The sequence below is a fragment of the Homo sapiens genome, chromosome 1, assembly GCF_000001405.40.
Source record: "Homo sapiens chromosome 1, GRCh38.p14 Primary Assembly".
Classification (NCBI taxonomy): domain Eukaryota; kingdom Metazoa; phylum Chordata; class Mammalia; order Primates; family Hominidae; genus Homo; species Homo sapiens.
The window spans coordinates 54,715,255-54,742,830 of NC_000001.11; the positions used below are offsets into that span (position 1 = coordinate 54,715,255).

The 27,576-nt window shown below is 42.5% G+C and overlaps 1 protein-coding gene and 1 long non-coding RNA gene across 5 annotated transcripts in view, besides 2 other annotated features; both read left to right on the plus strand.

Annotated features, from left to right (window-relative positions):
- The window catches only part of MROH7-TTC4 (MROH7-TTC4 readthrough (NMD candidate)), a 100,918-nt gene extending 73,515 nt beyond the window's left edge, over positions 1-27,403 (plus strand). For 2 of the 3 annotated variants that reach the window (NR_037639.2, NR_037640.2), the window contains 10 exon segments: positions 269-356; positions 1,346-1,463; positions 2,238-2,399; positions 5,909-5,986; positions 7,421-7,545; positions 13,092-13,178; positions 16,232-16,446; positions 18,375-18,456; positions 22,328-22,410; positions 26,157-27,403. This is a non-coding gene — a long non-coding RNA (MROH7-TTC4 readthrough (NMD candidate)). 3 annotated transcript variants of the gene reach the window in all.
- Positions 344-845: an enhancer, noted in NCBI's record as "H3K27ac hESC enhancer chr1:55181271-55181772 (GRCh37/hg19 assembly coordinates)". NCBI's record gives its function as "activates a minimal SCP1, AML or CMV promoter by ChIP-STARR-seq in naive H9 embryonic stem cells {active_cell/tissue: H9 hESC(naive)}" and the evidence as "EXISTENCE:reporter gene assay evidence [ECO:0000049][PMID:30033119]".
- Positions 496-595: a silencer, noted in NCBI's record as "silent region_921". NCBI's record gives its function as "represses an Ori minimal core promoter by ATAC-STARR-seq in GM12878 lymphoblastoid cells {active_cell/tissue: GM12878}" and the evidence as "EXISTENCE:reporter gene assay evidence [ECO:0000049][PMID:35858748]".
- TTC4 (tetratricopeptide repeat domain 4) lies at positions 607-27,403 on the plus strand. Of its 2 annotated transcripts, NM_004623.5 has the most exons (10): positions 607-765; positions 1,346-1,463; positions 2,238-2,399; positions 5,909-5,986; positions 7,421-7,545; positions 13,092-13,178; positions 16,232-16,446; positions 18,375-18,456; positions 22,328-22,410; positions 26,157-27,403. In NM_004623.5, the coding sequence occupies exons 1-10, from the start codon at positions 655-657 to the stop codon at positions 26,257-26,259; spliced, it is 1,164 nt and encodes a 387-aa protein (NP_004614.3). In that variant the 5' UTR covers positions 607-654; the 3' UTR covers positions 26,260-27,403. The 2 variants fall into 2 exon arrangements, with proteins under 2 accessions (NP_004614.3, NP_001278262.1); NM_001291333.2 differs by lacking the exons at positions 16,232-16,446; positions 18,375-18,456.

The window sequence follows — 27,576 nt, forward strand, 5'->3', positions numbered from 1 at the left end:
TCATCATCTCCTTGCCCCCTTCCTCACTCTGCTTCAGCCCCACTGGCCTCCTTGCTGTTCCCCAAGCACAGAAGACTCTCCCGCATCAGGCTTCCGGACTGTTCCCTGTTCCTTCCATGGGAATGCCTTTCCCAGACCCCTCCTAGTCACTCCCAGGCCTCTGGCAGAATGTCTACCCATCCTGTTTAAAACTTTTCCCCAATAGCTCTTGCTACCCCTGACAAACTCTTACATCTCAACTATTGTCGTTTCCTCCCCACTGCCTTAGCAACTCCTAGAGGGCAGAGATTTCATCTGCTCTGCCCACCGCTATATAGCCAGCCACTAGAACAGGCCGGAAGCGCAGAAAGAGCTAAGTAAGTATGTGTTGACTGACTGACGAACAAATGAATGAAGTGAGATGGGGGCTTTGGGGATTCGGGTTCACGCACCACCCCAAAAGCATTCGAAGGCCGGGCGAGGCCAGGCACTGCCGAGGAGGGCGGGCCGGGGGAGGAGCGTATTGGCCACGCCCGGCCACGCCCCCAGGCCGGCGGAACCCAAGGCGCGGGGACCTGCGCTGCCGGGAGGATTGAGGGAAGGGAACCCGCGCCGCCGGAAGGAGCCGCTCGCTTCACGGCGCTGGGACCCGGGCTGGAAGGCAGGGCATCAGCTATGGAACAACCTGGGCAGGATCCCACCTCAGACGACGTCATGGACTCGTTCCTGGAAAAGTTCCAGAGCCAGCCTTACCGTGGCGGCTTTCATGAGGACCAGTGGGAGAAGGTGGGCGGTCCTGGGGTCTCCCCACGTGTGTAGGGGCGTCGTCCGGACTCGTGGGGCACCCGGGCTCTGGGGCACCTCCTTCAATCCCAGATCCCTGGCGCTGCCAGCCGATCGCTGGTTTCTAGTTGAGTATTGAAAATCGGCCTCGAGGTTTTGAGTCGCTTCTTAAGCTGAGAACCTAGGTTTTGGAGTCAGGCCTGTGACTCCACCACTTAACTGGCTCTGATATGAGTCAGTTACTTAACTTCTCAGAGTCCGTTTCCTCATCTGTAAAACTGCGCGAACTATATCACCAATAGCAAAGATGAAATGAGACAGTTGGTAAAGTGCCAAGAACATAAGGGCGCTCAATTAATGGTAATTCCTGCCGCTCTTGTAGAATGTGAGAACTAAAACAATCATTAGAGACCATTACACCACACTCCCATTTTACAGAAGGGAAGCGGAGGCCTGAATGGATACAGCTAGCTGTGATGATTTGCAAATCATGATGAGTAAAAAAACTTTGGTAATGAGTCATGGAATTGGATCTGCTCAGTAGAAAAGCTTATTCATGTAGTTCATTCTTAACCATTTACAGGAATTTGAAAAGGTCCCCCTATTTATGTCGAGAGCGCCATCAGAAATTGATCCCAGGGAGAATCCTGACTTGGCTTGTCTCCAGTCAATTATTTTTGATGAGGAGCGTTCTCCAGAAGGTATCTTAACATGACTAATATTTGTTTTGTGTTTCCATTGAACTGAAATTAAGTGTGGGTTAGAAGCGTTCTGATTGATAACAAGAAGTAGTTAGCCTGAGCTAACTTGTCATTATTCATTCCAATATACTTCTTTTTGTACCTACTAAGTGGTAAGGACTGGGGATACAGGGGTGAATAAGACACAGTTCCACCCTCCAAGGTCAGGCTCAGTGAGAAGCCTTTTGTCTTAAAGAATCAAGACAAACTTATGCTATAAGTGTCAACATGTAGGTGTATACTACAGCTGTAGTGGGTCCTGTTGGAACACTTTAAGGAGCAGGAGTGGATTCACAATAGATAGGAAATTTGAGCTGAATCTTTGTAATTTTGTAGGCTTTTACTAGGGTGAGGAGGGGAATTTGCACTCCACAGAATAAACAACATAAGCAAAAGCAGAAGTATAATCAATCCCCCTGCCCCTCACTGATTTCTTCAGTGATTAAAAAAAATTCTTTTCTTCAACAGCTAGGATGAGTGTACTTTTTTCCTTTATACTTCTTTTTTTTGGAAAGCACTTAGTAATCTACCTTGTAAGATATTTGGAATTAGCATTACATTTGTGCGACTTTGTCCATGTTGATACCCACTTTTATCATAACATCGAGTTTCCTTTCCCTATTGGTTTCTTCGCTTTGGTGTGTCATATAGTACATTATTACATGATTTAGAATCTATTTTTAATGAGCCTTTTAAAAAGTAAGCAATAGTGATTATTTTTCCTCTTCTTTGCAGAACAGGCCAAGACCTATAAAGATGAGGGCAATGATTACTTTAAAGAAAAAGACTACAAGAAAGCTGTAATTTCATACACTGAAGGCTTAAAGAAGAAATGTGCAGATCCTGATTTGAATGCTGTCCTTTATACCAACCGGGCAGCAGCACAGTACTATCTGGGTAATTTATAAGTGCTTTCTGAAGAATAAACTTATGATACAAGCCATTATGATGGTTAGTGGAGGTTTGAGAACATCAGAGGATGAGGGGCTGTTATCCCAGAAACCCAGACTAAGGATAGTTTACTCTGATTGAACTCTGGTCTTCCAAGTTGACATGATGAAAAGAGAAACAGGATGGATTGTGTAATTCTTACTGTCTCAACCCAAAAAGTGACTTGGTCACTCAAGTAAGGTGTTTGATGTATGAGGCAGTATGTTCTGAGATTTTTGAGCCCAAGGGCTTCTACTCTCTCAAAAAATGTGTTTTTCTGGCCTTTTATCCTCTTTTCAAGGATGCTAGCAGGAGTAAGGCAGTAGAGATCTTTAGGTGAGATAAGCTATTTTAATCTAAGGGAGAATATCTCAAAGCGTTCTGTGGGACCTTTGAGTTAAAAATATTTTTTGGTTGGGTGCAGTGGCTCATACCTGTAATCCAAGCACTTTGGGAGGCTGAGACAGGAGGATCGCCTGAGGCCAGGAGTTCAAGACCAACCTGGGCAATATAGTGAGACCCTGTCTCTCCAAAAATTTAGCTGGGCATGGTGGTGCCTGCCTGTAGTCCTAGCTACTTGGGAGGCTGAGGCACGAGGATCGCTCAAGGCTACAGGGAGCCATAATCACACCACTGCACTCCAGCCTGGGTGACAAAGTGAGACCCTGTTTCTAAAAAGTTGCTTGGATGAGGAATTTTAACTCATTTATTTATTCATATTTTTTACTTTATTACATTTTTTTGTAGAGACAGGGTTTTGCCATGTTGCCCGGGCTGGTCTCGAAATTGGGCTCAAGTGATCCATCCGCCTCAGCCTCCCAAAGTATTGGAATTACAGGTGTGAGCCACCGCACCCAGGAGATTGAGGAAGTTTGGAAAATGCTGCTTCTTAGAGATTTACAGTACATGTTAACATGTTAAAGACACTGAGATAGCCTGCAAGAAAATAAATTTACCCTGGGTTTCTCAAATTTTGTAAGCCTCCTCTTCAGGTAACACCAACATCATGCAGGTTCTGTAGTCGTAAATTTGGGAAATGATTATTTAAGTAGTATTGCTGGTGACTAGTCTTGGTTATGTTAGACCTGTGGGTTTTTTTTAAAAATAATTTATTTTTTTAATTGAGACAGGGGTCTCGCTATGTTGCCCAGGCTGGCCTTGAACTCCTGAGCTCAAGTGATCCACCTGCCTTGGTCTCCCAATGTGCTGTGTACTCAGTGGACCTTTTCAGTCTGGAAACTCATGTTTCTAGGACATTTTCCTGAATGCTTTGATATTTTTCTTTTTCTTTTTTACTCTTTTTTCTCTTTTTGGAAATCCTGGCTGCTGGTACTTTGGGAACCAAGTAGGAGAAGAGGACCAAGGGCTCAATCTTTAATATTTCCTTTACTGAATCACCTTTGTGCCTGGGGGTTCCAGTCCAGAGACCTACTGTTTTATTGTCTGCTAGGGTAAACCTCCAGTCCTCCACCTGGAGGAACAGGGGAGGAGTAGGTCACTGGTGCAGCAGAGGGGTAAGGAATATGGGACTCTGACTGCTTCTTAAGTAGATTTTCAACCCACCTTCACCCCCACTTCCAGAGGTACCTGGTGCCATCAGTTCCTGAGTCCTGAGTACTTTGTAGTTTCTGCAGTGCAGCTTGGTAGCTTTTGTGCTTTCCCTCTACTGGTTTAGAATTCAGTTTCCTTAAGCCTGATACATCAGTTACTTGTTCCTTTGTTTTCCAGCTTTCACAATGTGTTCTGTGTTCTTCTCATTTTCTTTGTCTTTATGGGAGAGAGAGTGGGGATTGAGTTAAATGTATGTGTTCAATCTGCCTCCTTTAACTAAAAGTCCTTGGATCCCTTTCATGTGCATTTTTTTCCATGGTTGAGATCCTGCTGTTCTTCCAGTTTGATATTCAGTTTTTTCACTTAATTTTATAACAAACAATTTCACCGTCATTAAAAATCATTTCTGAATGTTATTTCAATAGCTAAAGTTGCATCATATGGACATGCCACTATTTATACTGTTTGCTTTATTAGTCTGCTATTGTTGAGTATATAGACTGTTTTTTGGTTTTTATAAATAATGCAAAAATAAATAAAGTCATAATATTTTTCTGATAATTCTGATTATTCATTAGGCTAAAGCACGATTTGGCAAACTAGGACTCAGAGTCCACCCCTGGCCCCTTGGCTTGCCATGAACTAAAAATGTTCCATACTTTTTTTTTTTTTTTTTTTAAAGTGACAGGGTCTTACTCTGTTCAGGCTGGAGTGTACTAGCTGTGATCATAGCATAGTGCAATCTTAGACTCCTGGGCTCAAGCAATTCTCCCACTTCTGCCTCCCGAGTAGGTAGAACTATAGGCATGTACCACCATGCCCAGCTAATTTTTAAAAAATTTTTTGTAGAGAGAGAGTCTTGCTATATTGCCCAGGCTGGTCTTGAACTCCTGGTCTTAAGCAATCCTCTCACCTCGGTCTCCCATAGTGCTGGGATTGCAGGAGTGAGCCACCTCCCCAGAGGTTTCTTACATTTTTCAAGAATTGTAATAAAATGAAGAAGAATGTGCAGTAGACCACATGTGGCCTGCAACACCTAAAATATTTATCTGGCCCTTTACAAAATATTTTGCTGACCCCTGGGCTAGAGATTTAGGTAAATACTAAACCATTAAGTAATAATTATAGTATACTCCAGAAAGTTAAAGTATACCTCATGGCTTGCTAGTTTGGATAACTGGTATGTGTGTGACTGCATACTTTTTTTTTTTTTTTAATGCACTTACAAATATATACATGTGTGTCTAGATATTTAGTTTTTTTTTTTTTTTAAATAGGCTTCCTCTATACTCATAGAACCACCACTTAAAACAATATAGAACAGACATCCTACCGTGTTTCTTACATGAGGATCTATCTCATTCTTTTTAATGGCTGCATAGTATTCAATAGTATGGATTTACCATAATTCATGTAATCATTACCAAATTGAGGATATTTGAGTTATCTCCAGCTTTTCACAATTAAAGTAATGCTGTAGTTAACATGCTTTTACATTTATCCCTGCACATTTGTTCAAGTATTTTTGATAATTTTCCAGAAGAAAATTGTTGTGTCAAAGTATATGTACAAAATACATGCTAATTTGCTTTCTAATTTACCCTGAGAGTACCCCTTTTCCATATCTTTTCTAATACTAGATATTATTTGTCTAACTTTTAGCAATTTCTTAATTTTAATTTCCTAATCATTAGTGATGTTGAACGTCTTTTCATGTGCTTACTAGCCATTTACAGTTCTGTAGATTGCCTGTTATAGACATTTCTAAGGCTCTTGACAAGTACAACCATATTTTTTCAAAAAAACAGTTGCTCTCATTTGTATTTCCCCAGGATTGTACAAGAGTGTCTTTGTCACTACATATAAAATTTTGGAAACATTTTGATCTCAAAACTTCTCTCTTTTACTAAACGGTGTTTTGTTAGGCAATTTTCGTTCTGCTCTCAATGATGTGACAGCTGCCAGAAAGCTAAAACCCTGCCACCTCAAAGCAATAATAAGAGGTAAGTCTTGTGGAACTACAGTATGACATTTAAAGCTTTGATATGAAGGTGCTAGGATACTAATAAAGTCATCTTATTTTTGCAGTCTGGGTATTAAGTTCCTGTTCCTTATCAACAGCAACATGCCACTTTTAAAAGAATTCCTCAGAGAGTGACTTAACCCTTTATGTAATAATAATTTGTAGAGAACTAGAAGCCCCTCATTTTAAATTAATAAAAAATAAAATTAATTAAAACAAAGCAGTTGCAAAGCCATATTCTGATTTTTTTTCCAAATTAGCTGATTGAAAGGCAAGGTCTTCAAATGCCATGTTAATGTTAATTAAAAGATAAGTTATGGGACCTTTGCTGATGACTTTGGTGCTGAGATGTTCTCAGATTATGTTTTCTCTTGTAGTCTGACCTTTCTATGTAATAACAGTGCTTTTATTACTTTTATACTTCACCTTTTCTTTGAGAAGCTCATAGGTGCTTTGCAAACTTTAATTTATTCATCACATATTAATCTTCCCTGCATCCCCATGGACCAGCTTAAAATGCTTTTTCAAAATTATGCCTCTTTAAATGTTCATGGTTAAGGGCAGTAGGAAGATCCATGTCCCTCAGCTGTAGGAAAAGAAGGTACTGAACAAAGATTGGCTGATAAATTGAATCTAGGTAATCCTGTGGAATTTGCCTCAGGCTAGAAGTGTGTAATCCTTGATTCAGTTGTTGGTTTAATTTACAATGTGACCTTGGCAAGACACCCACTTTGAATATCAGTTTGCTCATCTCTAGAAGATGGGGTTAGAATCTGTTGGCATCTAAGCCCTTACAATGCTTATATTTTGAAATTCTGTGGAAAACCTAAAGAGGCTAACTGGAGAAAAATGTACATGATAACATGAAATTTTTTTTTTTTTTTTTGATGGGGGAGAGGCAGCTTAAACTGGTAGCCATAAAGAACAAAATTAGGAGACACCTAATGTTTTTGGCCTTGCCACTGCCTTGATGAATAGCTGAAGCAAAGTCTGCTTTTTCCCTCCATTGAAAAAATCATCTGGGATGGACTTTATTCTTCCTGTTTGCAGATGAGGAACCTAAAGCTTGGATATGCTTGGTCCTTTGTCTAAGGTCTAGCTGGTAAATGACACAGCCAGATTTCTAGCCTTGATCTATCTGGTTTGCCACTAAGTTATAGCTTTTCCTACTTTAAGAGCCCTTAATACCAGGGAGACTTACAGGAGTTTTGAACTAAATGGACCTTAGGGATTTTTCTGATTTAGGACACAAAAAGTATTCTCCCTTGTCTGGGGACTGCAGTATAAGGGGCATTATCCTCCATTTTGCCTTCAGGGTACTGGCTGGTAGTTGGTGGGGGATGGGAGATCTTGCCCAAAGCAGGTTCTTTCCATGCATGTTTTTCTTGAATCCTAAGGGTTCTGGGTTCTGCAGGTGCCTTATGCCATCTGGAACTGAAACACTTTGCCGAGGCCGTGAACTGGTGTGATGAGGGACTGCAAATAGATGCCAAAGAGAAGAAGCTTCTGGAAATGAGGGCTAAAGCAGACAAGCTGAAGGTTGGTGACTGTCAGCAACCAATTAGCATTTGCTAATTAGCAGTAATTAGCATTCCCAAGATTGTGTCTCTCAAGTCATTGTAAACTTTTTAAAAACAAAACCCAAAACTAGTCCCTACTCCTGGAACTCTGTGGAGCACACAGACAAGTAAACAGTTATAGTGTGATATAGAGGTAAGCAAGGATAGATGGTGTGTATAGTGGTAGTACAGTCATGTGCCACATAACAGTGTTTCATTCAATGATGGAACTCCGTATATATTACAGTGGTCCCATAAGATTATGATGCCATATTTTAACTGTGCTTTTTCTGTGTTTAGATGTGTTTAGCTACACAGATACTTACCATTGTGTTACAGTTGCCTACAGGATTCAGTGTAGTTATGTGCTTTACAGGTTTGTAGCTTGGGTGCAATAGGCTGTACCATATAATCTAGGTATGTAGCAGGCTATACCATCTCAGTTTGTGTAAGTACATTCCATGATGCTTGTACAACAATGATTGTGCATTTTTCAGAATGTATCCCCATCAATCTGAATGGAGACACGTCTTGTCCAGGGCAAAATTAGATACCATTACTATATACAGTCACATAACAATGTCACGTGTTCAGGGCCAGCTAAAGACTCCCAGTGTATATTATATACTCCCATTCCGTAGTATAAGCCATGAAGAGAGACCTAAACCAGGAATTAAGAGACCTTAAGACTAGTTCTGGCTTTCTATTAACAGGCATGTAAGACAGTATTACACAGTGGCTAAGAGCTTAGACTCTGGAGCCACTGCCTGAATTTGAAGACTCCCTTCATGACAGTTATGTGACTTGGACAACTTGCTGATCTCTTTGTGCTTTAGCTACCTCACTAGTAGAAGGAGAATTAAAATATTTCCTACCTTATAGGGCTATTATATAGTTTAGATGGTTTAACGTAAGGAATGTTTTTAAATAACACCTGGAGCACACACACAGTAGTGCTATTTAAATGTTGGATATTATTTTGGGTAGTGATGGTATTCTGTTATTATTACTGTTTTTAATCATCATTTTAGCTGTTATGTGCCAGAAATGTCATATATCATCAGCAATGACCAGAGGTCATTCTGGTCATATGAAATGGTAGAAAAGGTAGATCTCTATGGACCCACATGGCTCAATAACAGAATTCTGAGCCTAGGTAATTGGGTATGGCCAGAATTTCTGAAAGTGGTATATACAGGAATGAATGTCTAGAGGGCTACTGGGGACAGTCACAATTAAAGGGAGATTTCAAGGCCCAGAAGCCTGATATTAGGTCTAGGTGACATTACTTGCTGAATAGCTGAAGTATTCCCCTGTGTCTGAGTACAAGCTGATTCTGGGTTCCTATGTGCTTGGCATATAGCCAACAGACTTGTGGCTATGTTAATATCAGACAGAGTAGACTTCAAGGCAGCAAGTGTTACCAGAGATGAAGTGAAGCTTTTTTTCTTTTTTTTTTTTCATGAGACAGAGTCTTGCTCTGTTGCCCAGGCTGGAGTGCAGTGGCATGATCATGGCTTCCTGCAGCCTTGACCTCCTGGGATCAACTGATCCTCCTGCCTCAATCTCCTGAGTAGCTGGAACTACAGGCGTGCACCACCATGCCAGGCTAATTTTTTTTTTTAATTTGTAAATTTGTAGAGTTGGGGTTTCACTATGTTGCCCAGGCTGGTCTCAAACTCCTGGGCTTTAATCCTCCTGCCTTAGCCTTCCAAAGTGCTAGAATTACAGGCATGAGCCACTGTGCCCAGCCACTGAAGCATTTTTTTAAATGATAAAAGGACCAGCTTATAAGAATATTTAACAATTCTAAATGTGTAGGCACCTACTAACAGCTTCAAAATGCATGATGCAAAACTTGACAACTCAAAGAAGGAAGAGACAAATCCACAAATAGGTGGAAATATCAACTATCTCAGTAATTAATAAAACCAGTATTTAAAAAATAGAGAGGGGTAGTGTCAATCACAGTGGTGGACTAAAGACCTTTACAATTTTTCTCCTCCATAAAATCAATGAGGAAACTGGCAAAAATGATCAGAATTCACTTTTCTAGGACTCTGGAAATGAACCAGAGGTTTGCAGCAATCTGGAGCATGTTTATTCAAGAAAAATGTTGGAACCTCAGTAAGAACAGCAAGCTTTGTGACATTTTAACTTGCTCTATTCTCATCTCCCTCCTCTCCAGTTCCACAGTAGCCTTGAAAGCCAGTAGCCCACAGTCATGGTGAAAATGAGCAGCCTGCAGCCACCAGAGGAGGCAGAACAGGGTTGGAGCTCTTTCAAAGCCTTTTCCCAGAGAACTGTGATGATTTGACCATCTGGTAGATCCCTGGAAGACCCCGCTCACAGGGCTATTTTTATATGACCTGACTTGGAGCTTACCCAGTATAAAAAGCTTTTTTACATAGGGCCAGAAAATAGGGGGAATGAAAAGGTGGGAGAGAATTTGTCAAAAAACAATTAGAGGCAATTGTTAAAGATTGTAGAAGCTGAAGCAGTGGATAACACTGGAGCAAACAATAGGTGCATCATAAAGCTTAAAAGGAAAAACTGGGGAATGAAATTCTGTGGGGGCTCCGAAAAGCTCCAGTATTCCTGAAGATCTAGATGGTCACACATGTGCCCAGGGCTATACATGTGCTCAGGAAAGACCTGAGAAGACCCTAAGCTCTCAGAGTCTCTGCAAGAAGGAAGTGAAGGCTAAGGTAGAATTGTAAACTGCTTGGGTGAATGCTAAAAATGTGCTTCAACATGTACACAAAGCCTCTTGACAAAGATTGGAAGACTTACTGTCTGGTCATTAGCTAGAGGAAGCCTAGATGTGGGACTTACTAGACAAAGACTTTAAACCAGCTAATTTAAATATCTTCTCAGAATGAAAGGAAATAGTGTCTAAAGAACTAAAAAAAGTATGAGAATGATGTCTTTCCAAATAGAGAATATCAACAAAGAGAAGTTACTAAAAAGAACTTAACAGAAGTTCTGTAGTTGAAAAGTACAATAACTGAAATGAAAAATTCACTAGAGGGGCTCAACAGCGCATTTGAGCAGGCAGTAATGAGAATCATCACACTTAAGATGTATCAGTTGAGATTATCCAGTCTGAAGAACAGAATGAGAAAAGAATAAGGATGAAGAGAGACTTGTATGATGCCATCAAGCATACCAACAAAGGCATAGTGGGGGTCCTAGAAGGAGAGAAGAGAGAGAATGGGCAAAAGAATACTTGGGGAAATATTGGCCATAAACTTCCCAAATTTGGTGAAAAACACTGATGTATACATCCAAAAAGTTTAACAAACTATAAGTGGGATAAACTTAAAGTGATCTCTACCTAAACACATTATAATTAAACTGTTGAAAAACAAAGAAGAGAACCTTAAAAGCAGCAAGAGAAAAATGACTCTTTATGTACAAAAAATCCTAAGGAAAATTAACAGCTTTCTCATCAGAAGCCATGAAGGCCAAAAGGCAGGTAAATGACATATTCAAAGAGCTAAAAGAAAAAGACTGTAAGAATTCTATATCTAGCAAATCTATTCTTCAAAAATGAAAGAGTGGAAGAGAAGTAGTAGTAAAACCATCTATATGCAGACAACTTGACCGTGTATATAGAAAATCCTAAGGGATCCACTAAAAAACTCTTGGAACTAAGTTCAGCAAGCTTGTTGGAAACAACATCACCAGTACACAAAAATCATTTGTATTCTATAGATTTTTAATGAACACTCTGAAAATGAACTTAAGAAAACAATTCCATTTTAAATAGCATCAAAAAACACTTATGAGTACATTTAACAAAAGTAGCTAAAACTTATACTCTAAAAATACAAAAAACATTGTTGAAAGAAATTAAAGAAGACCTAAGTAAATAGGAAGACATCCCATGTTCATAGATTAGATCTTAATATTGTTAGATGGCAATACTCCCAAAATTAGTGTATCAATTCAGTGTAATTTTCTTTTTTGAGACATGAACTTGCTCTAATATTCAGGCTGGAGTGCAGTGGTATGATCATGGCTCGCTGCAACCTCAAACTCCTGGGCTCAAGCAGCCCTCCTGCCTCAGTCTCCCAAGCAACTGGGACTATAGGCATGTGATGCCACATCTGGCTAATTTCAGTGCAATCTGTATCAAAAGTCCAATTGGCTTCTCTGCAGAAATGGACAGGCTGATCATAATATTCACATAGAAATTCAAGGGACTCTGAATGACCAACAATCATGAAAGACAAAAAAAAAAAAAAAACAAAATTGGAAGACTCACACTTCCCAATTTCAAAACATACGACAGAGCTACAGTAATCAAGGCATTGTGGTACTGGCATAACAATAGACATATAGGTCAATGTAATAAAATTTAGAGCTCAGAAATAAGCCCTCACATTTATGGGGAATTTATTTTCAACAAGTGTGCCAAGACCATTCAATAGGGAGGTAATCTTTTCAACAAAGGATAGTGGGACAACTGGATATTCACATGTGGGAGAATGAAGCTAGAACTTTACCTCATACTATATAAAAAAGTTACCCAAAGTAGATCAAATACCCAAATGTAAGAGCTAAGACTATACAACTCTTAAAAGAAAACATAGATATGAATCTTCATGAACTTGGATATGACACAAAGCACAAGCAACAAAAGGAAAAGTAGATTGATTGCACTTCATCAAAAGTAAAAACTTTTTGCTTCAAAGGATACCATCAAAAAAATGAAAAGATAAATGTGAAGAAAAAAGTGAAAAGGGGCCAGATGCAGTGGCTCACACCTGTAATCCTAGCATTTTGGGAGGCCAGGGCAGGAGGACCACTTGAGGCCAGGAATTCGAGACCAACCTGGGCAACAAAGTGAGACCTCATCTCTACAAAAAAAAAAAAAAAAAAAAAAGTGAAAAAGCCCACAGAATGGAAGACAATATTGGTAAGTCATAAGGGACTTTTATCTACAACATATAAACAACTCTTATCATCTCAATAAGACAGGTAACTCAGTTTTTTAAATGAGGAAAGGATGTGAATAGACACTTCTCCAAAGACACACAAATGGCCAAAAAGCACATGAAAAGATGTTCAACATCATTAATAATTAGGAAATGCAAATCAAAACCATAGTAAGATACCATTGCATACCCACTAGGGTGGTTATACTTTTTAAAAAAAATCTATAGAGACAGGGTTTCTGTCACCCAGGCTATGTTTCGTAGCACTCGGATCACACGACCAGAGTAGTACATAATCCACCTGTTATACTGGCTCTTTACTTGTCTGTACCCCTCAACCCCTCAGTAGACTGTGAGTTCCTTGGGTACATACAGGAAGTAAATTTAAACTGCTGCTGCCACTGGGTCTGACATCTAGGCATGTACTTTGTAAATGTTTATTGAACTGAATCTGGCCACTGGTATTCCTTAACACAGGAGCTTGGGTTGGATAGAGGCCAGAGATAATAATTTAGGAGCAGGCTAGTGCAATAGAAGAGGAAGCCAGGTCTCTAGAGCTGATGCATCTAAATTTCATTTTTAGCGAATTGAACAGAGGGATGTGAGGAAAGCCAACTTGAAAGAAAAGAAGGAGAGGAATCAGAATGAGGCTTTACTCCAGGCCATCAAGGTGAGTTCTTAAACCTTAGGTTTTTATGGTCCTGCTAAATCCACTAATCCTGTGAAGCTTGTTGGGAACCTTTCTTGGGATGCTTTACCTGAAGGAATTTGTTCATTTTCTTTCTACTTTGGTAAAGCAGTGTGACAGAGGAGACCAGGCTCTGGAGTCAGGCCACCCCAGTTCAGTCAGCTCTCTCATGTGCATGTGTTGGTCTCAGTAACATATACAGTTGTCTCCACTTACCTGAAGCAGATGTATTCCAGGATCCACAGTGGATGCTTGAAATCTCAAATAGTTCCAAACCTGATTGCCATCAGTCAGAACACATTTCTGTTTGTGTCTTCCACCCACAAATATAATGCCTTTTCTATCTTAGCTAAAGCACTTATCACACACTGTGGCCATAATTTTTGCAGTTTGAGGTACATCAGCAACAGCAAAACTAGCATGAATTTCTTTTTCCTTCTTTGTAATTTCACAGATAGAAGGTTGCTCTTACCATAGATCTTAGCAACCTCAGCATACAATTTTTCTTCTAATTAAGTTGAGAAATTTCACCTTTTTACTTAAAGGAGGTAGTTTATAGCTTCTATTTGGCATATCCGAATTGCCAGCATCAGTACTCTTGTGCTTTGGGGTCCTTATTAAGTAAAATGAGTGTTACTTAATACAGGGACTGTGATACCATGACAGTCAATCTGATCATTGAGATGGGTGCTAACTCACAGGTGGGTATCATCTACAGCGTGGATGTGCTGGCCAAAGAGCAGAGCCCGTGATTTCATCATCTGCTACTCAGTGCATAATTTAAAACTTACAGGTTGTTTATTTCTGGAATTTTTCATTTAATATTTTCAGACCATGGTTGACCACTGGTAACTGAATCTGTGGAAAGCAAAACCGTGGATAAGGGGACACTACTGTACTGAATACCTGCTTTGGGTTAAGTGTTATTTAAGCTTCACAGTGGCCTTCTGAAATAGGTTGTCTTGCTTCTGTTTTTTTGGATAATAGTTTCAGAGAGGTGAAGAAACCTTACACAGCTAACATGTGTTAGAGCCGGGTCCTTGCTCTTAACCACTGGGTTGTACAGCATCCTGAGAAAGTCTGACATTTTAGGATGTTGTTCCTATAACAACAACAACAATAACAAAATGCCACCCTGTCTTTCTCTTTTCTGTATTTTGAAATATATATAGTCTGACCCAAATCTTGCTTTAACCTTGATACCTAGGGAGTCACCTGTTTGAGATTGTTTGGTCTTAACAAAGGAGAGAATATCTGCTGGGAGATTATGGGATAGGTTTTTTTTTTTTTTGAGATGGAATGTCTCTCTGTCACCCAGGCTGGAGTGCAGTGGTGCAATCTCGGCTCACTGCAGCCTCCACTTCCTGGGTTCAAGCAATTCTGCTTCAGCCTCCCGAGTAGCTGGGACTACAGGTGCACACCACCATGCCCAGCTAATTTTTGTATTTTTAGTAGAGACGGGGTTTCACCATATTGGTCAGGCTGGTCTTGAACTCTTGACCTCAGGCGATCCACCTGCCTTGGCCTCCTATAGTGCTGGGATTATAGGCGTGAGCCACGGTGCCCAACCGGGGTAGGTTTTTTGTTTTATTATTTGTTCAGTTAAATTATGCACCATTTATGTTACTTGTTGACTGTAAGAAACTTAACACTGCTAAAACATACTCCACTATTCCCTCCCCACAACAATCTGTTTACATGTATTAACACGTTAAACAGATTAGAATACTCCAGATTTTCCATCTAATTCTCATTCACAGTGAGGGATTTGTTCGTTTTCTTAATTGTAGAATATGAGATGCCCAGACACCCAGACATTTGCATAAATCCTTTTTTTTTTTTTTTTTGGTTCTCTTCTTTAGTGTAACCCTTCATCTCAAACTTAGCATACATAAGAGTTACTCTCAACAGTACACGAAGCCATGCATGCTGTATTTTACTAATGGTTAAAGGGAGGAGTCAGCAAACTGCAGCCGTTGGAACACAGCCCTGCCTATTTGTTTATGTACTACTTATGGCTGTTTTCACACTACAGTGGCAGAGTTGAGTAGTTAATTTTGACAGAGACCATTGTCCAGAACTCTTAAAATATTTCATATCTAATGCTTTAAGAAAAAGTTTGCTAACCTCCAATTTAGGGGATATCATCAAATCTAATTTTGATTGCATGTCATTTCCCCTCATGTGCTAACCTTAGGCACCCCTGCACACTTACATAAGAGGTGACCCTACTATTTCAGACCCTTAATTTATGCCCATGTCTAGGAGACAGTCAAGATTAAGTCAATGCACACTCTTTCTAGTATTCCATGTCCCAACTAAACTGAAATATTTGACATTTCTTTTTTTTTTTTTTTATCTTTTCTGTCCTTTTGCACTTGCTGCTCGTTGGAGTGGAAGGCTCTTCCTCCCTTCTAAGTGCCCCTCCCTTCCAACTTCTCTGCTTTTCAAAGTCATTGTTCAAGGCCTAGCATATCTCAGTCACCTCCAGCCCCCAAGGCTGAATTAATTATTCCATCGTCTATGGTACTACAACTCCACTTCTTACCTTATATCATCATTATTTCCATAGCTGTCTCACCACTTGATATTGAGCAGAGGCTTGAGGGCAGGTAGCCATGTCTAGTTCTCTGTGACACAGGGTCCAGCACAAGATAGATGCCCAATGAAGGTGAGTTAAGTGGTACCTACTATGTGCCAGGCCTCAGGGATAATGAAGATGGATTGTGTGTAGAGCTGTCCCTCAGGGAGCTCCCATTGTTATGGTGTTTTTTTTTGTTTGTTTGTTTTTTGATGTATTAAAGTTAGTTGTCCATGTTCATTCAGGGTACAGATGAAGAAAATTAAATTAAAAATAAAGTTAGTCGTGCAGCCTGGGCAATATAGTGAAACTCCGTCTCTTCAAAAAATAAAAATAAATAAAAAATAAAAAAATTAGCCAGGCATTATGGTTTCTTTATTTCAGTAAAATGGGTTTGCATCCTCCCACACAATAAGATGTGCATTATGTGTGTGTGTTTCTGTCTTTAACCCAGGCTAGGAATATCAGGCTCTCAGAAGCTGCCTGTGAGGATGAAGATTCAGCCTCAGAAGGTCTAGGTGAGCTTTTCCTGGATGGACTCAGCACTGAGAACCCCCATGGAGCCAGGCTGAGTCTAGATGGCCAGGGCAGGCTGAGCTGGCCTGTGCTCTTTCTGTACCCAGAGTATGCCCAGTCGGACTTCATCTCTGCTTTTCATGAGGACTCCAGGTACTGACTTGCCCAGGAGCCCTCTGCTTTTGCTTGCATGCTGTCTCTGTTTTTGTGGCAGGAGGGACGAGTGGATTTTTGGTTGAGAAGGGAAGATAATGGTTTAGAGGGTTTCACACCATCTGGTTTGATAATAACCTCTCTATCCTGTAGCTGACTGAACCTTGACTAACTAGGTTTGCAACGACAGACAAAAGTCTCATCGTCATACTAACTGGGCTAGTACATGCAACACCACAGTATTGTGTTTGCCAAAGAGTGGTACACATCACTGGTGAAATAGGAAGTCATTTTAGGTAATACATGCATAGCAATTTAAGTGAATATTAATTAGAAAAAAAAATATAGAGGCTGGGCGCTGTGGCTTATGCCTGTAATCCCAGCACTTTGGGAGGCCGAGTCAGGCAGATTACTTGAGGCCAGGAGTTCGAGACCAGCCTGGCCAACATGGTGAAACCCAGTCTCTACTAAAAATACAAAAAATTAGCTGGGCATCTGTAATATCAGCTACTCAGGAGGCTGAGGCATGAGAATCACTTGAACCTGGGAGGTGGAGGGTGCAGTGAGCCGAGATCATGCCACTACACTCCAGCCTGGGTGACAAAGCAAGACTCTGTCTCAAAAAAAAAAAAAAATAAAAAAGAGATATATGTATGTCTTTGATAGATATGTATATATATCAGACTTAACTTGTGATTTCATAGGGTTAATGTGTAGAATGAGTCTAAGTGTAAGAGTGTAAGAAAAGTTTTTTTGTAATTTTTTTTTTTTTTTTGGAGACCAAGTCTCGCTCTGTTGCCCAGGCTGGAGTGCAGTGGCATGATTATGGTTCATCACAGCCTCCAGCCCCCAGGCTCAGGTGATCCTCCTGCCTCAGCCTCTCAAGTAGCTGGGACTACAGGTGAACATCACCACATCTGGGTAATTTTTTAATTCTTTGGTAGACACAGAGTCTCTCTATGTTGCCCAGGCTTGTCTTGAACTCCTGGGCTCGAATGTTCCTCCCACCTCGGCCTCCCAAAGTGCTGGGATTTACAGGCATGAGCCACTGCACCCTACCAGAAATGTTTTTAACCTTGAAGCTGTTTAAAGAAAATTATGTCAGCTGGGCATGGTGGCTCATGCCTGTAATCCCAACACTTTGGGAGGCCAAGACAGGAGGATCACTAGAGGCCAGGAGTTCAAGACCAGCCTGGCAAACATGGCAAAATCCCGTGCCTAATAAAAATATAAAAAATTAGCCGGGCATGGTGGTGCATGCCTGTAGTCCCAGCTGTCTGGGAGCCTGGGGCACGAGAATCACTTGAACCCAGAAGGTGAAGGTTGCAGTGAGCAGAGATTGTTCCACTGTACTCCACACTCCAGCCTTGGTGACAGAGCAAGACTTTGTCTCAAAAAAAAAAAGAAAAGAAAAGAAAAAAAGAAAATCCTGTCAGTCAGGTGCAGGGCTCACACCTGTAATCCCAATAACTTTGGGAGGCTGAGGCAGGAGGATAATTTGAGCCCAGGAGTTTGAGACCAGCCTGGGCAATATAGGGAGACCCCCATCTCTACAAAAAAAAGAAAAAAATTAGCCAGGCATGGTGGCATGTGCCTGTAGTCTCAGCTATGCAGGAGGCTAAGGTAGAGGAATTGCTTAAGCCCGGAAGTCGAGGCTACAGTGAGCTGTTATCATGCCACTGTACTCTAGCCAGGGTGACAGAGCGAGACCCTGTCTCAAAAAAAAAAAATAAAATAAAATAAAATAAAATTATGTCATAATAGGACAAGTGATACATATACACATTTGGGGTACTGCTGTCAAATGGGTTAAGCCTGCATTTCATGTTTTATACATTCTAGATAACTTTGAATTAGTGTCTGGGGACCGATGTGGGAAAATAGATCATGAGTTATTGATACCCAGAAAGTACATGTTTTATCCTTAGGTTTATTGATCATCTAATGGTGATGTTTGGTGAAACACCCTCTTGGGACCTAGAGCAAAAATATTGCCCTGATAATTTGGAGGTAAGAGAAGTTTTATTTCGTTCCTCTATGGAATTAATTTTTTTTTTTTTTTTTTTTTTTTTTGCGGCGGGGGAAGCAGTCTGCTTTATTTTTTTGAAAATTATAGTAAAATATACATGACATAATATTTACCATTTTAACCATTTTTAGGTATATAGGTCAGTGGCATTAAGTACATTCACATTGTTGTGCAACTATCACCACCAGCCATCTCCAAAACTTTTTCATCTTCCCAAATTGAAACTCTAAGTACTTCATATAAGTGGAATCATACAGTATTTGTCCTTTTATGTCTGGCTTATTTCACTTAGCATAATGTCTTCAAGGTTCATTACATATTGTATCATGTGTCAGAATTTCCTTTTTTTTTTAAATTTTTGAGACGGAGTCTCGCTGTTTCACCCAGGCTGGAGTGCAGTGGTGCGATCTTGGCTCACTGCAACCTCTGCCTCCCAGGTTCAAGCGATTCTCCTGCCTCAGCCTCCTGAGTAGCTGGGATTATAGACGCGTGCCACCACACCCAGCTAAGTTTTGTATTTTTAGTAGAGATGGGGTTTCACCATGTTGGCCAGGCTGGTCTCGAACTCCTGACCTCAAGTGATCCACTCACCTCCGCCTTTCAAAGTGCTGGGATTATAGGTGTGAGCCACCATGCCCAACCAGAATTGTTTTCCTTTTTATTTATTTTTATTTTTTGAGACAGAATCTCGCTCTGTCACCTAGGCTGGAGTGCTGTGGTGCAATCTCAGATCGTTGCAACCTTGCCTCTTGGTTCAAGTGATTTTCATGCCTCCGGTTCCCAGGTAGCTGGGATTACAGGCATGTGCCACCAAGCCTGGCTAATTTTGTTTGTATTTTTAGTAGAGATGGGGTTTTGCTATGTTGGCCAGGCTGGTCTTGAACTCCTGGCCTCAAGTGATCCGCCCTCCTTGGCCTCCAGAAGTGCTGGGATTACAGGTGTGAGCTACCGTGCCCAGCCAGAATTTCTTTCCTTTTTAAGGCTGAATAACATTCCATTGTTGGGATTTTTTAAATAAAAAATCACAATATCCAGTATAAAGAATTACCTTTTTCTAACATTTGAGAGTAGGATGCCAGCTGATGTCCCATTACCCCTGAATACTTTACTGTGTATTTCCTACACAAAAGGACATTTTTCTTTATAATACCCATATAGCTATCAAAGCAGGAAATTTACATTAATTCACTGTTACCATCTAACCCTCAGACTCCATTCAGGTTTCACAAATTCTTTATAGCAAAAGGGTTTTGTTCAGAATCACATACTGTATTTAGTGATCATGTCCCCTTAGTCTCCTTCAGTATGGAAGAGCTCCTCAGTCTTTCCTCCACTTTTTTTTTTTACTTAAAAAATTTTTATTCATATTTTTGTGATCCTGTGACTCAACTGCAGGACACTTTGAAGATTACAGACCACTTATTTTGTAGAATGTCTGTCAGTATGGGTTTGTCTCATGTTTCCTTCTGACTAGATTTGGATTATACATACTTGTTTGTTTGTTTTGAGATGGAGTTTTGCTCTTGTTGCCCAGGCTGAAGTGCAATGGTGTGATCTCGGCTCACTGCAGCCTCTGCCTCCAAGGTCCAAGCGATTCTCCTGCCTCAGCCTCCTGAGTAGCTGGGATTACAGCTACTCAGATACCACGCCCAGCTAATTTTTTGTATTTTTAATAGAGATGGGGTTTTGCCGTGTTGGCCAGGCTGGTCTCAAACTCCTGACCTCAAATGATCTGCCCGATTTGGCCTCCCAGAGTGCTAGGATTACAGGTGTGAGCCACCATGCCCGGCCTGGATTATGCATATTTGGCTGGAATATTACAGAAGTGATGCTGTATTCTCATTGCACCTATCAGATGGTACATAATCTCCATTTGTCCCATTACTCATGATGTTCACTCTGATCACCTGATTGAGGTGGGGTCTGCCAGCCTTCTCCACTGTACAGTTACTTTTTCTTTATGATTAATAAGTGTTTTATAGGGAGATGCTTTGAAATGGTGTAAATATCCCATTGCTCGTCAGATATTCAACATATTTATTTATATTGGTGGATTTATAGTTTCCTGTTTCATTTAATGAGTTTTAATCTGTTACTATGATTGTTTCTTTTATGCTCAGAATATCCCAGATTTGGCCAGTGGGAATCTCTTCAAATTTGTTTCTGTGTCCTTTTGACTTGTGTCTATTTTTTAAGTGGTTGCTTTCTTACATAGGATGTTCTAGGTTCAGATTGCGCTTTCCTTGCCCCAGCTCTGGAATTAGCTATTTTTTCCCAAGAAGCCCTGGTTCTTTCTAGTGAAGAATGGTATTTAGAAGCCGAGATCTCTGTGCAATAAGTGTATAAGTGTATCGATTAATACAATGGGGGTAGAGAGGCAAGCTTACTGCCTCAATGCCTTCTCAGTGCCACAGCTTGGGGGAGAAAGAGAGAGAAAGAAAGAAAGGAGAGAGAGAGAGAGAGAGAGAGAGAGAGAGAGAGAGAGAGAGAGAGAAGAGGAGAGGAGAGAGAAGAGAGGAGAGAGGAGAGAGAGAGAGAGAGACCATGAAGTCTCATTGGTATCTCCAACTCTTAATTCAACATCCACAGGATTTTTTCTCCCTTTCTATATTTGTAACAATGACTTTCTTCTTGTTCTTTTTTTGTTTTTGTTTTTTTGAGACAGAGTCTAGCTGTGTTGCCCAGGCTGGAGTGCGGTAGGGAGATCTTGGCTCACTGCCAAGATCAACCTCCTGGGCTCAAACAATCCTCCCACCTCAGTCTCCCAAGTAGCTGGGACCACAGGCGTTTGCCACCGTGCCCAACTAATTTTTGTATTTTTAGTAGAGATGAGGTTTCACCATGTTGCCCAGGCTGGTCTTGAATTCCTGGACTCAAGTGATCCACCTGCCTCAGCCTCCCAAGTGTTCAGATTACAGGCATAAGCCACCATGCCTGGCCTGACTTTATTATTCTTAATATAGTTATTTGTTTGATCAGTTCCCCTCCTGTCATCACCACTGGCCCCTCTCCTATGTGGAGCCTTCCTCACCCTACTTGGACTCTTGACTCCACATGTTACGCTGCTGCCCCAGCGTGGGCGTCTTTCTCACCCCGCACAGACTCTGACATCCCACACTGCTCAACGACCCTACATGGACATCCTCCTCATCCTGCTTGGGCTCTGACACCCTACAGCAGGCCACCCCCTGCCATGAGTGGTCACCCTCCTCACCCTAGTTGGGCCTGTAAACTCCATATTACTTGTCCCCATGCATGGATACCCTTTTCACCCCACATGGCCTCTGACACCCCACCTTGGACAGCCATCTTACAAGGGAGCACTTCTTCCCCTGCTCAGGCCTGCTGGCCCCCAGCATGGATGCTCTTCTTCACTGGTCCTGCTCTGACACCCCCGGGAGCTTCCTGTGCAGGCGTCTTCCTCACCCTGCTTGGGCTTTGACACCCTGCACAGACATCCTTCTCTCCTTCTTCAGGCTCTTTCCTTCTCTGAGCCACCATAGCTTTCTCCTCCACATACCTGATGGCTTTAGTCTGATTTGTTAGGGAAAGGAGGGCTACATAGGCCTGGCCTTGAGTCTTGATTCTTCTGTTTACCAGCAGGGTAATGTTGGCAAGTTGTTGTTCTTCTCTGAGCCTTGATTCTGTCTTTGGAAGATGGAACTGATAATAGCCTCTTTTACAGTGGCATGGCGGGGGGGTACTAAATGCAAAGCACCCAGCTACACAACCATATAAAGGAGGCATTCAACTACTAACCGTTGCCATCTTTTTAATTTTCCCTGGGCTTAGCCTCAACTAAGGCTGCCGAAGCCTTTATCTCTGACTCTTGCCCTTCTGTTAATCTTGCAGGTCTACTTTGAGGATGAGGACAGGGCAGAACTATACCGGGTGCCTGCCAAGAGCACCTTGCTACAGGTTCTACAGCACCAGAGGTGAGTCATCTCATGGCGCTGAGTAGATTGGGGAAGATGCTCAGTGTATTAGTCCATTTTCACACTGCTGATAAAGACATACCTGAGACTGGTCAGTTTATAAAGAAAAGAGGTTTAGTGGAGAACTCACAGTTCCACGTGGCTGGGGATGCCTCACAATCATGGCAGAAGGCAAGGAGGAGCAAGTCACCTCTTACGTGGATGGCGGAAGGCAAAAAGAGAGAGCTTGTGCAGGAAAACTCCCTTTTTTTTTGAGATGGAGTTTTGCTCTTGTCGCCCAGGCTGGAGTGCAATGGTGTGATCTCGGCTCACTGCAACCTCCACCTCCCAGGTTCAAGCAATTCTCCTGCCTCAGCCTCCTGAGTAGTTGGGATTATAGGCACCTGCCACCACGCCCGGCTAACTTTTGTATTTTTAGTAGAGACGGGGTTTCACCATGTTGGCCAGGCTGGTCTTGAACTCCTGACCTCAGGTAATCCACCTGCCTTGGCCTCCCAAAGTGCTGGGATTACAGGCATGAGCCACCACTCCCGGTCAAAAACTCCCATTTTTCAAAGCATCAGATCTCGTGAGACTTAGTCGCTATCACGAGAACAGCACAGGCAAGACATACCCCCATGATTCAGTCATCTCCCACCGGGTCCCTCCCACAACACATGGGAATCATGGGAGCTACAAGATGAGATTTGGTTGGGGATACAGAGCCAAACCATATCACTCAGGCACCATCCGAGGAGTAGAGCCAGGTTCTCATTCCGCTGCTGACTGATTGCCTCATACTCCCCTCCCTTCTGCCCTGAGCACAGAGCTGTGTGAGACAGCAGCCATGGAGACTGGCCGGGCCCATAAAACTCAGCCATTGGTCAAACAGGCTCCAGTGTGATGATAGCCCACTGCACCACAGCCATAACACTCCAGACCAGGGGAGATAAATAGGACTGGTCTTTGAAGGGAAAAGCTGCCTGGCTTTTTGTACATGAAGGCTGCTAGGATGGCCTTTTTTTTTTTTTTGAGACGACATCTCGCTCTGTCACCCAGGCTGGAGTGCAGTGGTGCGATCTTGGCTCACTGCAACCTCTACCTCACCCCCCAGGTTGAAGTGATTCTCCTGCCTCAGCTTCCTGAGTAGCTGGGATTACAGGCGCCTGCCACCATGCCTGGCTAATTTTTGTATTTTTAGTAGAGACGGGGTTTCACCATGTTGTCCAGGCTGGTCTCAAACTCCTGACCTCAGGTGATCCACTCACCTCGGTCTTCCAAAGTGCTGGGATTACAGGCGAGCCACTGCACCCGGCCAGCCTTCCTTTTCCTAATCGTACCTATACCTATGTCTCCTGATGCTCTTTCTTTTGTTTGCTTTTTCTTATTTTGAATTTTTTTTTTTTTAAATAGAGATGGGGTTTTACCATGTTGGCCAGGCTGGTCTTGAACTCCTGGGCTCAAGCAATCCACCCACCTCAGCCTCCGAAAGTGCTGAGATTACAGATGTGAGCCACCACACCCAGCCCCTAAAATTTTTTTTTAAATTATTTTTATAATAGAGACAGGGTATCTTCTCCAGGCTGGTCTTGAACTGGGTTCAAGCAGTCCTCCTGCCTCACCCTCCCAGGTAGCTGGAATATCAAGTGCATGCCAGTGACCCGGCTCCTGATACTGTCATATGAAGAAAGCATTGGCTCTTGAAGTCAGACCCATCATCATTTACTGGCTGTGTGACTCCAAGCACACGCTGCCTCTCTGGGACTGCCGCCTCATCTCTGGAATGGGAGTAATACATGCCTACACATTTCTCAAGTATTTGAGAGCCAATGACAGGATAGGAGTTGAAGTGCTGTTGTAAACTGCACAGGGCAGTCCTGCTATAGGAGGGCATCTTTGTCATTAGCAGTGGCAGCAAGTTGGATTTGGCAGTTGTCTCAGAGAAGCTGTGAGGTGTTCCTGGACTATAAGGGAAAGCCCTCAGCAGATTTGCAAATTGACTCTTGGACTACTTTTCCTTAAGCTTTGAGCAAAGCAAAGCAGAGAAAAGCAGATGCTTTTGCACTTAAGCTAAAAGAGCCCAATGTATTAGTGTAAAGAGAGTGGTTGGATGTGGTAGGAAATGAGGCTAGAAAGCTAAGTTAGGGCCATACACGAAGGCCTGAATGCCCTGCTAAGGAGCGTAAACTTTATCCTGATTGTGGTGTACACCAGGGTTGATTTTTAAAAATTAAAAAGATTTTAAAAGATGTACAGAATAGGCCGGGTACAGTGGCTCATACCTATAATTCCAGCATTTTGGGAGGCTAAGGCATGAGGATCACCTGAGCTCAGAAGTTAGAGATCATCCTGAGAAACACAGCGAGATCCCGTCTCTATAGAAATCTTTTTTATGGTGTTGTGCACCTGTAGTCCTCGCTATTTGGGAGGCTGAGGCAGGAAGATTGCTTGAGCCCAGCATTTCAAGGCTGCAGTGAGCTATGATCACACCACTGCACTCCAGCCTAGGTGAGAGTGAGACCCCCTCCTCCCACTACCCAAAAAAATTACAGAGTAATGTAAAGATTTGAAGTGTACTGTTCAGTGGTGAGGCCTGAAGTAGGAGGAGGTGGATTAGAGGTTTAGGAGGTAGATTGGATGGGAGCTGGTGTAGTGTTGAGTGATGTGATAGGGGTGTCCAGCTAGTCTTAATGCTTTGGCTTGGTAGGCAGGAAGGAAAGGTTTTTCCAGATCTGATTGATACCTTTGGTGGTGTTTTGCTCTGGTCCCAAATCTCTCTTCTTCTAGTTTTTGGACACATTTTTAGCTGCTCATTTTCTCAGTTGTTAGCAAATTACCCAGAATTCTTTAAAGGCCTGAGTTCTGCCCTACCCCAGAGGAGAAATCTAAATAGAAAGCAGACCGATGCTTGGAGGAAACCCGTTTCATGCTTCTCAGAAAATGTAAATGCTGTTGGAAGTTACTACCTTTAAAATTATTACCATAGGCAAGAGCCTACCCAGGACTGGTTTCTGGCAACTTCAGACCCTAAACTGGGTGGAGCCACGAAATAGGCCCTCTGTCCCAAAGCAGGCCCACTGAGTAATACAACACCCCTATCCCTGGGAGGCCAAAGCCCTCCCTGCCTCTCTAGCCTGCCTGACTCCTTTTGCTTTGTGCCCTAGCCACAGCAAACATTCTGGTTACTTGCACCTCCTGGCTTTTGCTCCCCAACCCCCATCACCACCCCTTCCCCAAATTAAAGCCAAGTTCAGACATGGCATCTTCCAGGAAGCCTTTTTTGATTCCCTTCCTCATAGAGGGAATCGTGCCTCCTTGGGATAATGCTGCGCCTCACAAATGCTTCTGCAGTTGTGCCTTGCTGTCATTAATTGGTTCCTCATCTCCCTCCCCTCCAGGACTGAATTTGAGAACAAAGATGATGGTGTGTGGGTGTTGGTTTTTTAATCTCTGTGTTTTCAGCACAGGGCCTGGCTTACCACTGAATGTTGAATGAATGAATAAAACCATGCTTTATATTTTTATTTCATATTTAGCCACAGACATGCATGATGCCAGAGGACTGGCCTAAAGGTTCTGGCTAGGTTGTAAGGATGAGAATGTCATGCTAATTTGCCAGATTTATGAACAACCACATAACTGTGCTAAACTTGCATTTTCATGTTGACTCCCATCCAGAGGCTCACCTTGCATGTTGTTAGGAAGGTGCATGGATGGTTAAGATTGTAATTAAATTAACACCCTCTCTTTTGTTGTGTTCACGGCAGGTACTTTGTAAAAGCCCTGACACCAGCATTTTTGGTCTGTGTAGGATCCTCTCCTTTTTGCAAGAATTTTCTCCGGGGGAGAAAGGTGTACCAGATACGATGACTAAGCCAGGGCCCCTGGATCTCCTCCCTTACCCTCCTCTGCTGGGAACCTAGCACACCTGAATCAGCTGGACATACTGCTGGAGTCCAGTGCTTTCTTTCCGTCACCCTGGGGATAGTCCTTCCTGGCATCGTGGTGGGGGAGGAGCCTCTGGCTTCCCTAAACTGCAGCCTCTCTGGCTGGTCTTCACTTTCCTCAGTTGATATAAAACTCTGGGTCTTGGCCATGATGTCCTTGGACTCCATCGCTAAAGGGACCATCTGCTGCAGTTACCACAGCAACTGACCTGAGCGGCACCCTGGTCTGTGGAGATGGACTCAGGATCCAGTGACATGATTCTGAACTTTTGTGGAGTTTGACACCTTAGAGAAGCTACCCCTCAAACTGCACATCTACACACAAACAAACAATGCATAGGATTCCAAGGCTTTAAAGCTGAGAGACCCTGGCCTCAAGTTATTTCATGCGCACAGAGGGAAGCCATGTGGGGTTGCTGAAGATGCCTTGAGGTGAAATGGGGGCAGGAAAGCCACATCTTGCTCTGCATTTATAAAGACCGTACAAACTCAGATCCTTGGTACCCCTAAAAAGATTGCCAATTTTCTTCATCTTTGCCATATGGAGGACTGTGACAGACTTTGGACAGTGGCCTCTTGAGTTCCTCTGCAGTTTTGACATTTAGGATTTTGTGTCTTTTAAACTGGAAAATCTTCTAGCATGTTGGGTTGTTACAGAGTATATTTTTGTCTGCAGCTGTTTGTTGCCCCATTCCTAAGAGGAGTTTATCCATCCTGACTTGTAGCTGTGTGACTTCTTGCAGTGCCCCCACCCCATCCCCCCGGGAGAGTGTACTTCCCTGCTCCCAATGCAGAGGGATATGCACAGGCATGAGCTGTCCTGCGTCTGACAGAAGCCTGAAGAGTCATGTGTGGTTGGCCTGTGCTCTTCCCTCTGCTGTGAGAACACATTTCCCACAGAGGAGCCGTTCCATGGAGCCGAGCTACAGCAGCTGGCCTGCAGCCACTGAGTGTCACAGCAATGAGAGAGCAATGTTTGCTGTAGTAAGCAGTGAGATTTAGGGGTTGGTTGTTACTATAGCAGAGCTAATACATGAGTAAACTGAAGCCAGCTGCTGTCCTTAAAAGTGGACTAATTTGAGGCTGGGTGCGGTGGCTCACGCCTGTAATCCCGACACTTTGGGAGGCGGAGGTGGGTGGATCACCTGAGGTCAGGAGTTCGAGACCAGCCTGACCAACATAGCAAACCCCGTGTCTACTAAAAATACAAAAATTAGCCAGGCGTGGTGGTAGGCATCTG